The sequence below is a fragment of the Homo sapiens genome, chromosome 3 (genome assembly GCF_000001405.40).
Source record: "Homo sapiens chromosome 3, GRCh38.p14 Primary Assembly".
NCBI classification, from domain to species: Eukaryota; Metazoa; Chordata; class Mammalia; order Primates; family Hominidae; genus Homo; species Homo sapiens.
This window is the reverse complement of record NC_000003.12, coordinates 7,789,806-7,803,933: the sequence shown is the minus strand read 5'-3', so window position 1 is coordinate 7,803,933 and position 14,128 is coordinate 7,789,806.

Here is a 14,128-nt window from a genome sequence, read left to right as displayed (position 1 = left end):
AAAATGAACACGTGTTAAAGATTTTACTTAACTCATTAGTAATGAGGAAATCAGAAAGATACTATAACAGGTTCACAGGAGAAGTCTAAGAAGCACAAAAGGATATAGTGTACAGGAGGTTGAAATGAATGTGCAAATGGATGCCAGACTGTTTCTTCCCCCAGTGGGAAAAGGGTTGAAGTTAACTGAACCCTCTAACAGATGTAATTTATTTGTAAATCTATAGACAAATTTCTTTGGGATTATTTTTAGTTATTTATAACTTAGAGTTGTAACAGAGCTCTATGGAAATGAAAGGCTAGAAGCAGATAATTTAGAAAAGTATGCTCTAAACATTGTTTGGTAGTCCATGGCAGATAACCCAGTAATTGTTTTTATATTTTCAAATGTCTTCCCAGTGACGGCATTTGTAAGAAACTTGATGGCTTTCGAAGCAGTTTGAAATAGATGCTTTTGACCACTGCTTCAACCTAATCAGATACTTTAGTGGCATCTCCTTATAAGTTACCTCAGGGAGGTGAGTGATGAGCACAGCTACCATGGTGCCAGGCACAGGATCGGTGCTCAGAAATTCGTAGTTGTCGTTATAATAGAGACAGTGTTGAGTAGGGGTTAAGAGTGAGGACTTTAAAATCATTTTGTAGATTGTACCTTATTCCTCTCATGTGTACAATGGTGACAATAATAATACCAATCTCTTAGAGTTGTTAAAAGCAGTACGTGAGTTAATTTGCATGAAGTACAGAGAATACTGTGTACACTGTGGCCCTGAAGCCATGTGAAGAGCGTGGGGAGCCTTAGCAGAGTTGGCGCCAGGGCTAGAGAAGCACGGAGGGTGAGTCCTGGGTTGCATGAGTCCCTACCACATCTACCCATCAAGCTGGAGGTCAGTGGATGTCATTGTGATGGAATGAAAGCCTGCTTTTTTCCTGACTTGTAGAACTCTGTTGCCTGTTTAATCAGAGTTTTGGGACCAGGGAACAGATATATTTTCTTTTTCCAGGAGAGGGTGCGATTGTGCATGGACAATGGCAGAATACGTTTGTAGGGTAGGAAAGGTTTGATTGATGCCTTCTCTCACCTACCGTAAGAGTCATGGCCAGCACTCCTATAACAGAAAACAGGTTAACGTGAGAAAAGCGTAACAAATTTATGTAACCAAAGTTTTTACATGGCATGTCTTAAAAACCCCAAGACTCAGTGAAAACCATCTATTTTTATGCTTAAGTTCAGTGTATAAAGGACACCCAGGTAGAAATGTGATTAGACAAAAATGGAATGTTCTAGTGGTAATAGACTGAAAGGACCCAGCAAGCCCATCTGTTCAGATTCATCTTGACCTCTCTGCACAGTATTCCTCACCCTCCAGCATGGAGCACAGCCCCTCTGGGAATGAGGTCTTAGGATCTACTGTCAGACAAGGTGGGTCAGAGAATTTCTTTATGGTCAGCTCCTACACAGAAAGATAGGGGTAGGTTAGAGTATAATTTCTAGTTTCTATGACTCACCATGGGGAAGAGAAATTCCAGTATCTATGACCTACCTTAGTAGAGAAAGGAGAGCAGGAGAAGGTCACAAAGAGACTGCTCTGAGGCCCTTTCAATCTTTCAATCTTTGAGGCCCTTTCAGTCTTTGAATTCAACATATTCCGCACAAACAGGAGATCCTGGGTTTGAAGAAAAGGAAACAAAGGATGCCAAAGGATGCCAAACTGCCATACTCTGGAGTATCATTTTCGAAGCCCCAGCATCTCACGGTATCAGTGCTGAGCCTTAAACTCAGTGTGTGTTTGATTCCAAAGCCTGTGTGTGTCTCCCAATCATATCCTAGCAACTCATTTGTTTTTTTTCCTTCAGGCTCCCTTTTACTTTTGAGCATTCAGATTTTTAGCATTTTATCCTAATTCTTTGTTCCTTTATCCACACATCCATCCATAATTTCAACCAAAATATTTTGTGGTTAGCTTGCTGTGTGCCAGGCGCTGAGCCTGTAATGGTGCCTGTGAGCGGACAGGGACCCGACCCTGATGAACCTTCTAGCCGAGGGAATGAGAGACAAAGTAAGTAAACAGATGGATGAAAGGGTCACAGACTGTACTTAGTGTGATGAAGGAAGGAAACAAGAGGTTGAGATAGGGAAGGAGTGGTGAAGGAACACTTAAGAGTAGCCAGTAAAGGTATCTTTGAGGAGGTAAAAGCTGAAATGAGACTTAAAGGATGTGAAGTGATGTCCATGGAGGCCTGGAAAATAGTTACATAGGCCAAGGGAATAGCAAGTGCTAAGGCCCTGAGGCAGGAACCAGCTTGGCACCTTTGAGGAGCAGGAAAGTGGCCAGTGTGGCCTGGGAGTTGGAGTCAGGCAAGAGAGACAGGGTTGGAGATTTAGATAGGCGTCAGATCTTGCCGTGCCATGGAGGAAAATTTGAATTTGAACTTATGTTAACACATGACATCTATTGTAAGACCAACAACATGTCATGATAAGAATTTATTATGCCTACTATATGCCTATCATGCAACCAGATACTTCTCACAAATCATGTCATTTTCTCCCCCAACTTTGAGAGGTAGAGATTTTGAGTTGTCTTACAGCATCTGTTTACTCTTACATTTATAGAGCAGGTTCCCTTTTCTTGAGGCAAAATGCTAGACCCTAGAAAGATGATCCCTATTCTTAGGGAGCACACAGTTTAATAAAAACATCTGGTAACCAAGGGTCATGCTAGTAGCTCTATGCCCTGGCTTCAGCTTTTAGCCACTCTGGGCTTCTCTTTACTCCAGTGGGGAAGTAATAATTTCCCCATTGCAGGTGATGGTGAAGATGAGAAGAGTCAACAGGCAACAAGTGCCTAGGCCAGGTAGAGGCTCACTCACTGGGGGATATTAGGAAAATCTTGATGGTGCTCTGATTGAAGCCTGCTCACAGTGCACATGGCCAGTGAGAGATGGCAAGATCCTCTGGGAAAGAAGAGACAGGAAAGGAAAGGCTTGGAAGAGGAGAGGGAACTGAATCTTGAAAGAACAGTGGCCATTCCCGAGGCAGACAAGGAGGAGGATGACAAAAATTCTATTTCTATCAAGCCTAATGCGAGATAGTCCTTATCATGAAAATTAAGTGTGAGGAACAAATGCACCTGTGATTTTGGTAAAAAGGGGCTACACATCGTAATTTAATGTCTAAAATTTGGACACTACTTTGTAAAAGTACTACTTACCCGTCACTGTTCTGCATGTAGTTTTAACCAAGATGAGAATCATGTAATAAATATAAGCTGATTCAAAGGCTTTGTTTCCCAAAATGTAGCACTATCTTTTCTTTCAGTAAAATAAATAAAGCATATGTCAACTTGCCCTCTAGTGACAATATTTTGTATTTCACTCAGGTTCAGAAAATAAGCTGCACATTAGCTCCTCCAACAATGTGATTTTCTTTTTAAAAGACAGAGGCTCATCCTGTATAGATAATACTCTATAATAAAGAAGTAGAAAACAGTAACCTCTGGGAAGTATCTTTGTGGTAGCCTATTGTGGTCACTTCTAGGCTGCTTACTCATGAAACTTTGGGCAAATTACTGAGCAAGTAACTTTGAGCAAGTTACTCAGGGATATGGTCTCCTCACCTCTGAAACGAGTTAGCCAGAATGCTGTGTATTTACTTCTCTTTTTTCTCTTTTATGCCTGCTAGAATGCAAGAATGCAAGCTTTGTGAGCACAGATCACAGGGATTTTGTTTTCTACTGATCCCCTAGTGCACAGAACAGGCTGGGCTTGTAGCTGGCACACAATGCATGTGATGTAAGAAAAATGAACAATGACAAGTATGAATATTGAAAATCATGAGTTATGGAAATTGCTGGAGTGTGGTCAAGCAGTTAGTGGATGCTTTACTAAATGATGACGTCCTGTCTTCCCTGGCTCTTGTCACTTGTGTTTTTTCAATTTTATATCAGTTAGATTTATTTCCCTTTGGGCCGTTTGTTTTGTTTTGCTGTTTTTTGTGGTTGTTTTTGTTGTTGTTTTGTTAAACTATCGTGAGCCGAAATTTGAAAGAGACACAGAAGAGGGAGTCAAGGATGAGGCTGGGTTTTTTTTTTTTTAGGTTTGAAAAACAGTTTGCTGACCTTTCCTTCTAGTTGATGACATTTCAAATTTAACCCATTCCACTAGACTATTTTTCTTCATGATGTGCTTTTGTACTAAATTATACACACATGCTAGATTCCGGAAATCTACTAAATCTGTCTCATGGCTGTTTACTGGTCAGTGTCCCTTAATTCGGCAACACCCTGGGTTTTTAGGAAGGATAATCACTTTTTTTTTTTTTTCTTTTTAGTCACTCCGTTCATAAGTGTTTTGTTCCTTTCACCACAGGTTTATTACTCACTTCTACTTTGAAAAGCAGGACCTGGGAGGCTGTAGAGATGAAAGAAATGCAATAACACTTTTGCTTGCTAATGGATGAACATGTTGCTACTTAGAGTTGAAAAGGCATCATTTTCAAGTGCTTTTTAGGGATGTTCATGCTATGGTGTAAAGGGGAGTGAAGAGAGGAAGAGAGCAGCTCTTCACGTGTTTTTTACAGGTCTTAAGTGTCCAAATCCTTCCTTACACAGTAACACCCCTGGAGAGAAGAGAATGTGTCTCTTAAGTTTCTACCCAACATCTAAAAACCCTTAGAGTTCTATCAATTTGGAAATGATGGTGAAAAGATATACTTTGAGAAGTAGTGGTGAAGAATGGATATTGATTTATCCTTTTGATCCATGACGGTCTCCAGCTCCGAAACAAGTAATGATTCCCAGTGGGTACAAGATGAAGTCCAAACTTCTTAACCTTGAATTTAGAGGCTTTTGTGAACAAGCACCAAATCTTTTTGACCCCCTCTTCTAAAACTCCCTCAATGATGTTCTGCTCAAATTATTCTCCCTCACTGACCTCTAGCTAGGCTCTGTGTTTTAGAATTTTAATTACATTTATTGGTCAGGGACGGATCATTTTAATTGTTGGAAAAGAAATCTAAAAAGTACAAAACAGAAGATGACATTCATAATTCTGCTATTTGGAATTAATCTTTGTTGGTAGTTAGCCAATCACTTCCTGTTTTTTAAAATACATAAGTCTATGTATAATTTCTACGGTTATAGTTTTTTTAATTACAAAAATGATATAGAAGATAGATAATCCAAAAGAGAAGACTATGAAAGATAAACTAAAGTTTTGTTTAATTACTGTTTCCAATCCTGATTCCCTCTCACGTTCCCCTGAAACAGCCCCTGTATTAGTATTGTTGTATATTTTTCCAGTTCATGTTTAGAGTACATAATTGATGACATTATTCTGTGTTTATTTTGGCTCACATAGATCGTGTCATAATGTGTGTATCTTTCCATAATTTGCTTTTTTTACTCCAAATCTGTTTAAATGTCTAGAACCAGCTTGCGCAACCCATAACCCATGGGCTGCGTGCAGCCCAGGATGGCTTTGAATGCAGCCCAACACAAATTTGTAAACTTTCTTAAAACATTGAGATTTTATGTGACGTTTTTCTTTATTTAGCTCATCAGCTATTGTTAGTGTTAGTGTATTTTCTGTGTGGTCCAAGACAATTCTTCTTCCAGTGTGGCCCAGAGAAGCCAAAAGATTGGACACTCCTTCTCTATAATTATTACTGACCATTGTAAGTTCTGTTTATCCATTTGCCTACTGACAGGTATTTGGGCTGTTTCCACATTTTTGCAAAGCTGCAGAAAAAATGAATGTGATGATTTTTATGCAGATGTGCAAATACTTCTACAGTATGCATTGAAGTGGTATTGCAGGGTCACGGTGTCTGCACATCTCAGTGTTCATGGATGTCGCTAAATTTTCCTGTCACTTTGCTAGCTTACATGCCCATATAGAGTGGGCTGAGGGAGAGACTTCTCAGGCTGTTCCTTCTTTATTCCCTCACATTTCCCCAGCCTAGAATTTCCTTCATTCTTCTCTCTTGTGGAAACTGTCTGTTTTGCAAGATTCAATAGAGATAACATTTGTTGTATATTCCTCTCACTTGACATTAACTCTAGATTTTGACTATTTTTATTTTACTTGTTTATGTCTCTGTCCAGGTGAGTAACTAAGCTTAGAAAGCACACAGGCTGCATGTTCCTTTGTATTCCATAGTGCCTAGCCTAGTCTCTTACCCATGGTGAGTGCCAAGTATAGCAAAGTCTGGTGTTGCTTGAAATTCAGGTTTATAGCCAGTTGAAATGTGAACATCCAATATAGTGAAAATTATTCTCAATTTTAAAAAATGCCTGTAATATTTTGTATCTAAATTAGCCACTTGGCACTTTTTTCCTGCAGCATTGCATTTAGTCAATGCAGTTAATTAACGCATAAAGGTGATAGACCTTATGTATGATAAATATGTCCTGTAATTTTTAAACACATTTCACATATATTCCTAATACACCTATTAGGAGAGGCATGCAGGAAATGTAACTGATAGCACATACAGCAGACAAACACCCATCTTGTCCTCCTGTAGAGATACTTACGCTTGCTGACTGGAGGAGAAGGAATCACTTGAACTATCTAAATTGCAAAGTCCCATTTTTTGCCTCTACATCCCAACACACATACACACACACACACACACACACACACACACACACATTCCTGTACTCAGTATGCTTTCTGATGTTGCCTCCCTGATCAGCACCACAACACGGGCAAACACACTTCTGCCTCCTCCTCCCTGCCCGATCTCTTTGCTCCCAATGAGAGAGAAGGAGGAGACTGAATCAAGCAAGCATGGCAATAGTGCAGCTCTTCTGTAATTAATATCCTAACTCCCTGGGACTTAATGGAAATAATTTGGTCACAAACACCTTTTTTAAGATACAGTGTCCTGCTATGTTGCCCAGGATGGTCTTGAACTCCTAGGCTCAGGTGATCCTCCTACCTTGGCCTCCTGAGTAGCTGGAACTAAAGGTACATGACTTTCTATCACCTTTTTAAAGGCCATTTTTCACTTGCTGTTGTAGGGACCATTTTCTGTGAAAGCCCCAGGAAGCAGCCTTGGTGAGGTGTTAGTGATGGAGGAAAAAAGTGTCCTGAACAAGAATAGGAATGTTCTTCTGTGCTTCCTGAACTCATAGTCCCAACTTATCCACACAGTATGGGAGAGATTGGTCATTGATTGTTTTAAAATGTTGATTTTTATTTTAGTATGGCAAGACCAGGAGATCATGAGATAACTGCTATTGAAAAGATAGCTCCTTACCCACAGATCCCAAGAGGAAGAGCACACCACACCAAACGAGCCACATGGGAAAGTACCAAGGTCTTTCAGGAGACAGGGGAGACTGAAGGGAAAATGGGGGCGAGAGCTTTTACTGTAATTTCCATGGGAAGGAATGGGCAAGACTAGGTATGCAGGATTAGGATTGGCTAGTGTGGATAATTCCACTGGGCTGTGGAGTGTAGGGGTTGTCTCTAGTTTTCTGGTACCTGGCCCTGGGGTGATTAGAGTCAGGGAATAGTGGCCTAGAGTGTGAAAGCCTAATCAAGGAGGTGGTGGGGATGTGGGTTGTGGATTGGTTGGTTTGCACATGACAGGCAAACTTCCAAGTGAGCTGTTTGCTATTTCTAGGAATTGTCTAACCCTGGGAGAGGCTAGTCCTCAAAGGTCAGTAAGGCCCCAGATGTCAAGGCATCAGAATACAGAAAAAAAAATCAATGATGTTCTCTAGGGGATATTTCCCTAGCTGTGACTTGGTCTCAGGAACCCACGTATTGTGTTTTTTGCCCTTCTGTGAATAATATAAGTTGTTCAACAAATGAGCAGTGTAAAATGCCACAAACTGGGTATCAATAATGGAGATATAGAGGCATGGCTAAGAGGGCAGGCAAAGACCCTGATAGCTACATAGGTTCTGCAGGTCTGTTCCTCCCCCAAGATGCCTTCCTTCTATACTTAACTATCAGAAACTTCACAAACCTCTCTGTTTTCATCCAAATTATTACGATTTCTAGACAGTTATTTTTGTTTTTATGAAAAGAGATGGCACACTAAAATTAGGAATGAAATCAGAGACATTACTTCCAATTCTACAGTAATTATAGGATGAAGAGGAAATTTTATGAAAAATTTGATGCTAACATATTAGACCATTTAGACAAAATAGACAAATTTCTTGAAATATACAAATCACCGAAAACATCTCAAGAGAAAACAAATCTATTCGTACTCATATCAAGTAAAGAAATTAAAAAAAAAAAAAACTTTTTGCAAATAGAAGTCTAGGCTCAGATTGCTTCCCTGGTGAATTCTGTCAAACATTTAAGAGAAAATAATACTAATTATATGCAAACATTTTCAGAAAAAGAAAAAGGAAACACTCCTCAATTAATTTTATGATGCCTGTATTGCCGTGAAATTAAAACTGGACACAAAAGTTCTTAACAAAATTAGAAAATCAAGTCCAGAAATATATATAAAAAACGTTTACCATGACCAAATGAGTTTATCTCAGGAGTTCAATGTTGGTGTAACATTTGAAAATCAATTAATGTAATATACCTTATAGATAGACTAAAGGACAAAATGCCATGTCAATACATGTAACAAAACACTTGAAAAAATCTTATTCATGATAAGAGAAAAAAATTCTAAACAATCTTAGAAGGAAACTTCCTCAACCTGATAAAGGGTATCTATGAAAAGACTGCAGCTAATATCATTTTTAATTATGAAAAACGAATCCTTCGCCTTTGATTAGAAACCAAACAAAGCTGTCCTCTCTCATGACTTCTACTCAACAATGTACAGGAGGCTCTAGTCAGTGCAAAAAAGCAAGAAAATAAATTAAAGCCATGCAGATGGCAAATTTAGAAACTATCAGTATTTGTAGATGACCTAATCTTGCATGTAAAAAATACTAAGAAATCTATAAAATTCCTGTAGTTAATAGTTACGTTTAGTAAGATAGCAGGATTCAAAATAAATAAACAAAAATCAGTTATATTTCTACATACTAAAAAAAGTCTGAAAATAAAACTAAGAAAACAGTTCAATTCACAATAATATAAACAAGGATAAAATAAACAAGAACAAATTTAACAAAATACATGCAAGACCTATACAGTGAAAATTATAAAACATTGCAGAAGAAAGTTAAGATTTAAATAGAGAGACATATCACATTTATGGATTGAAATACTCGATATCATTAAGATGGCATTTCTCAAATTTGTCACTAGATTCAATACAGTATCTATCAAAATCCTAACAGGCTATTTCTGACTATGGTAAGTTTTGGTTACATTTAATAGGTGTTCTGTAGGGACTTTTTTTTTTTTTTTTTTTTTTTGGAGACAGAGTCTCTATCACCGAGGCTGGAGTGCAGTGGCACAATCTTTGCTCACTGCAACCTCTGCTTCCCTGGTTCAAGGAATTCTCACGCTTCAGCCTCCCAAGTAGCTAGGACTACAGGTGCCTGCCACCCTGCCTAGCTAGTTTTTTTATTTTTTATTTTTTAGTGGAGAGGGGGTTTTGCCATGCTGGCCAGGCTGTTCTCAAACTCCTGGGCCTCAAGTGATCCTCCCACCTCGGCCTTCCAAAGTGCTGGAATTACAGGTGTGAGCCACCATGTCTCTATGGGCCCTTTTAATGCATGGATTCAAATGTTCTTATCTCTGGAAAAGTTTCTTGTAGCTTTAAATATTCATTGGGTCCCCAATCTTCATTATGTTTTCTATTTCAAGCTCAATTTAAGTATTTTTCAGCTGCTTATAACTTCATATTTTTTTCTCAGCACATTACCTAGTCTCCTCCTCTCAAATATTCCTGCTATGTAGAGCTGGCTAGAAGAATTACGGATCAGTCACTGATATTTCTTGGTTTCATTTGTGTTATTTCTCACTGGTAAATGATTATCCCAAAGAAAGCGTCCAGGAAACTGGAGATGGCATTTATAATCTTTTTTGACTGTATTAGTCAGCTTGGGCTACCATAACAAAATACCACAGACTAGGCGGTAGGAATTTATTGTCTAACAGTTTTGGAGGCAGGGAGTCCTAGATCAAGGTGTTGGCAGGGATGGTTTCTCCTGAAACCTCTCTCTCTGGCTGGCAGACAACCACCGTCTCCCTGCGTCCTCACCTAGACCTTTTCCCTGTGTGAGTTCCCTGGTGTCTCTTCCTCTTCTTATGAGGACACAACTTCTACTGGATTAAGGTTTCATCCTTACGACCTCATGTAACCTTAATTACCCATTAAAACTTAAATCTCCAAATCTAGTCACATTGCGGGTTAGGGACTCAACATATAAGTTTCGGAGGAAGACAGTTCAGTCCATAACACTGAAGATAACTGTTTTCTAATGAAAGCCTCAGTGTATTCATGACTCCTCTTTTGTGATCAATGGAGCCTTCAGCTGGCTCTCCTTCCCTTGTTATTCCATATAAGGGCGCCTTAGGTTTTCCTTAAGTAGCTAACATTCTGCTCTTATTATGATTGTGTGTCAGGTATTGCTTGAAACATTATCAATATCCCAATATATTAAATCATTTGTTACCATGGTTTCGATTTCTAGCATTTCCTTTAGATTTGTTTCTTTCCTTTTTTTTTTTTTTTTTTTTTTTTTGAGACAGAGTCTCTGTCTGTCACCTAGGCTGGAGTACAGTGGCACTATCTCGGTTCACTGCAACATCCACCTCCTGGGTTCAAGTGAGCACATTCAGCTAATTTTTCTAATTTTAATAGAGACTTTTTAGTAGAGACATTTCATCATATGGGCCAGGCTGGTCTTGAACTCCTGACTCCTAATCTGCCCGACTCAGCCTCCCAAGGAGCTGGGATTAGAGGTGTGAGCAACCATGCCCAGCTTCCTTTGGAGTTTTTCCTTAGCTTTTCCATCTCTGTTTTCATTCCCCATCTGTTCTTACATGTTATTTACTTTTTTCATTGGGGCCCTGTGTTAGTCTATCCATGATGCTATAAAAATGAAGACTGGGTAATTTGTAAACAATATTTATTTCCCACAGTTCTGGGCCTGAAAAGTCCAAGATCAAGGTACCAGGAGGTTCAATGTCTGCTGTGGGCTGCTCTCTCTGCTTCAAGATGTGTTGTTGAATGCTGTGTCCCTTGGAAGGGATAAATGCTGTGTCCTCATGTAGCAGAAGAGATGGAAGGGCAAAAAAAGGCCGAATGCTGTGTGAAGCCTCTTTTATAAGGGCCTTAATGACATGTAGGAGGGAGAAGCTCTCATGACCTAATTACTTCCTAAAGGCCCTACCCCTTAATACTATTACACTGAAGATTAAGTTTTAACATTAATTTTGGAGGGGACAAAACATTTAAACCTTAATAGGCCCTTACCATATGAATCACAGTTATTTTAAATTTCCTGTGTCACACAGACATTTGATTCTGAGGCTTGCTTTGTCTCTTAAGACTTTTGTTATTGTTGTTGTTTGTTTGTTGGCATGCCTTGTAATTTTTTTCCTGAAAGTCAGATACATTGTATCGAGTACTAGGAATTAAGGTAAACAGGCTTTAGAGTGAGATTTCATGTTAATCTGGCTAGGAGTTAGGCTGTATTTAATCTTTTTTGTTAACTATAAATGCGAGAGGCTTGACATTCCTCTTGAGATGCCTTTGTTTCTGTCTTCCCTATTGACTTTGAGACTCCTTACATTTACCACCTCAGACAGAGTCGGCACGGTACTCTATTTACCTGTAATATGGGAGACCTGTTGAGGCAGTGGTAAGGTGTGGGGAAGTAGAAGGTTTTTTAGCCTTCTGATTAAATCTCAGTCTTTTAGTAAGCCTGACACTCAGGGGTGTGACAGTAACAGAAGTCTCTCTAGCACTTCTGCCCCCATCCTGTACCCCTTCCCTGGCTGCAGTATTCTAAATGAATTTCCTTGCAGCCCTGACCCATGTTGACTACGTTATTTACTCCTTTTGATGAAACAGGATGGCTAGATGATACTTAACATGAAAGAAATGCCTTCTCCAAGCTGAGATAAAGCCTCCAAAAACTTTTCTGCTGTAGGGAAGGCCTTTCCTATGGATTTCATAATGGTTACTCTTCTCCTGCTTCTGTTGGAGCTCAGAGAAGAGCTTTCTTGGATCTTTAGCTTGAGAATCTCATAGGGTCCCTGGAAATAAAGTCCAGAAAGGTGCTTTCTGCCAACCCAGACTGCAGCCCTCAAGCAATTAAAAACACAAAAGAAATTTTCACACAAAAATGTCTAGGTTCAGATAGTTTCACTGGTGAATTCTGTCAAGGAAGAAATAATACCAATCCTACACAAACTCTTCAAAAAAAAATGAAGAACACTTCCCAACTTACTTTTTTTTTTGAAATGGAGTCTCACTGTGTCGCCCAGGCTGGAGTGCAGTGGCACGATCTTGGCTCACTGCAACCTCTGCCTTCTGGGTTCAAGCAATTCTCCTGCTTCAGTCTCCCCGAGTAGCTGAGACTGCAGGCATGCGCCACCACGCCCAGCTAATTCTTTTTTGTATTTTTAGTAGAGATGAAGTTTCACCATGTTGGCCAGCCTAATCTCGAACTCTTGACCTCAGGTGATCTACCTGCCTCAGTCTCCCAAGGTGCTGGGATTACAGGCGTGAGTCACTGCACCCAGCCCCCCAGATTTTTTTTTGTAATGCCAGGATCATTGTGATATATGCTAGTCCACAGTCGACCTCTAGCCATTAATCAACATGACCATTTGAGTGTTTCTACCAGTTTGTGTCTCCGTGGACTCCTGCTCCAGACAGGCAGATCTTAGCTGTGATCCACTATGTGAACCTGACTCGCTGGATTTCAGGATGGTAGTTTGCTCTGTGACCTCCGTTTTCCAACAGGTCCAAAATAGGACACTAATTTTCCATATATCTAGCTTTCTCCTGTTAGAAAGATGGAAATGTTGACTTCCAAGTTCTTTTCATATCAAAGTTGAAACTGGGAACCCACATATACTTTTTAGTCCTCTAACCCAAGAAGGTAGATAATGTTACTATCCCCGTTTTACGACTTGTGAAAACTGAGTGCAGAGAGATTGGGATTTTGCCCATGATGGTGAGAGGTGAAGCCAGCTAGACTTCTGGGTCAGGTAGAGACTTGGAGGACTTTTTTGTCTTACAAGAGGATTGTAAAATGGACCAATCAGCACTCTGTAAAATGGACCAAAATGCATCAATCAGCACTCTGTAGCTAGGATTGTAAAATGCACCAATCAGCGCTCTGGCTAGCTGGAGGTTTGTAAAATGCACCAATCAGCACTCTGAAAAAATGCACCAACCAGTTCTCTGTGGCTAGCCAGAGGTTTGTAACATGGACCAATCAGCACTCTATAAAATGGACCAATCAGCGCTCTGTAAAATGGACCAATCAGCACTCTGCAAAATGGACCAATCAGCAGGACGTGGGTGGGGACAAATAAGAGAATAAAAGCTGGCAACCCCAGCCAGCAGCAGCAACCCGCTTGGGTCCTGTTTTAGGTTGTGGAAGGTTTGTTCTTTGCTCTTGCAATAAATCTTGCTGCTGCTCACTCTTTGGATCCATGCCATCTTTAAGAGCTGCAATACTCACCATGAAGGTCTGTGGCTCCATTCTTGAAGTCAGCGAGACCACAAACCCACCAGAAGCAACAGACTCCAGACACAATGGCACAATGGTCAGTGGTAGAGTCAGGCTTTAGATTAATTAAATTTATTTCCTTTTACTAAGTACCCCAAATACATTTCCTGTTTTCTATGCACTAGATTAACTGCATTAATTCTTCCTGTGGTCATTAATGCCTAGTCAATGCTGTTTTCTAGTGAGCATTAAATATAATGTTTTTAAGTCACTTAACCCAGTACCTGACACAAAGTAAGTGATCAATAAATAATGGAAGTGCTGTCTATTGCTCCTATTATATCATTTATTCCTCACAGTGACTCTAGGAGATAGAGTTCTCTGCCTGCCATTTATAGGAGAGGTACCACCTCCAGGGTCTATTAGAATTGGGCTGAGATGTACCCTAGGCATCGCAATTTTTAAAAGCTGCTCAGAAACTTCAAATGGGAAGCTAAAATGCAGAAGCACAGCTCTAAAAGGTATGTTGATCACCTCATCCCATTGGTGCCA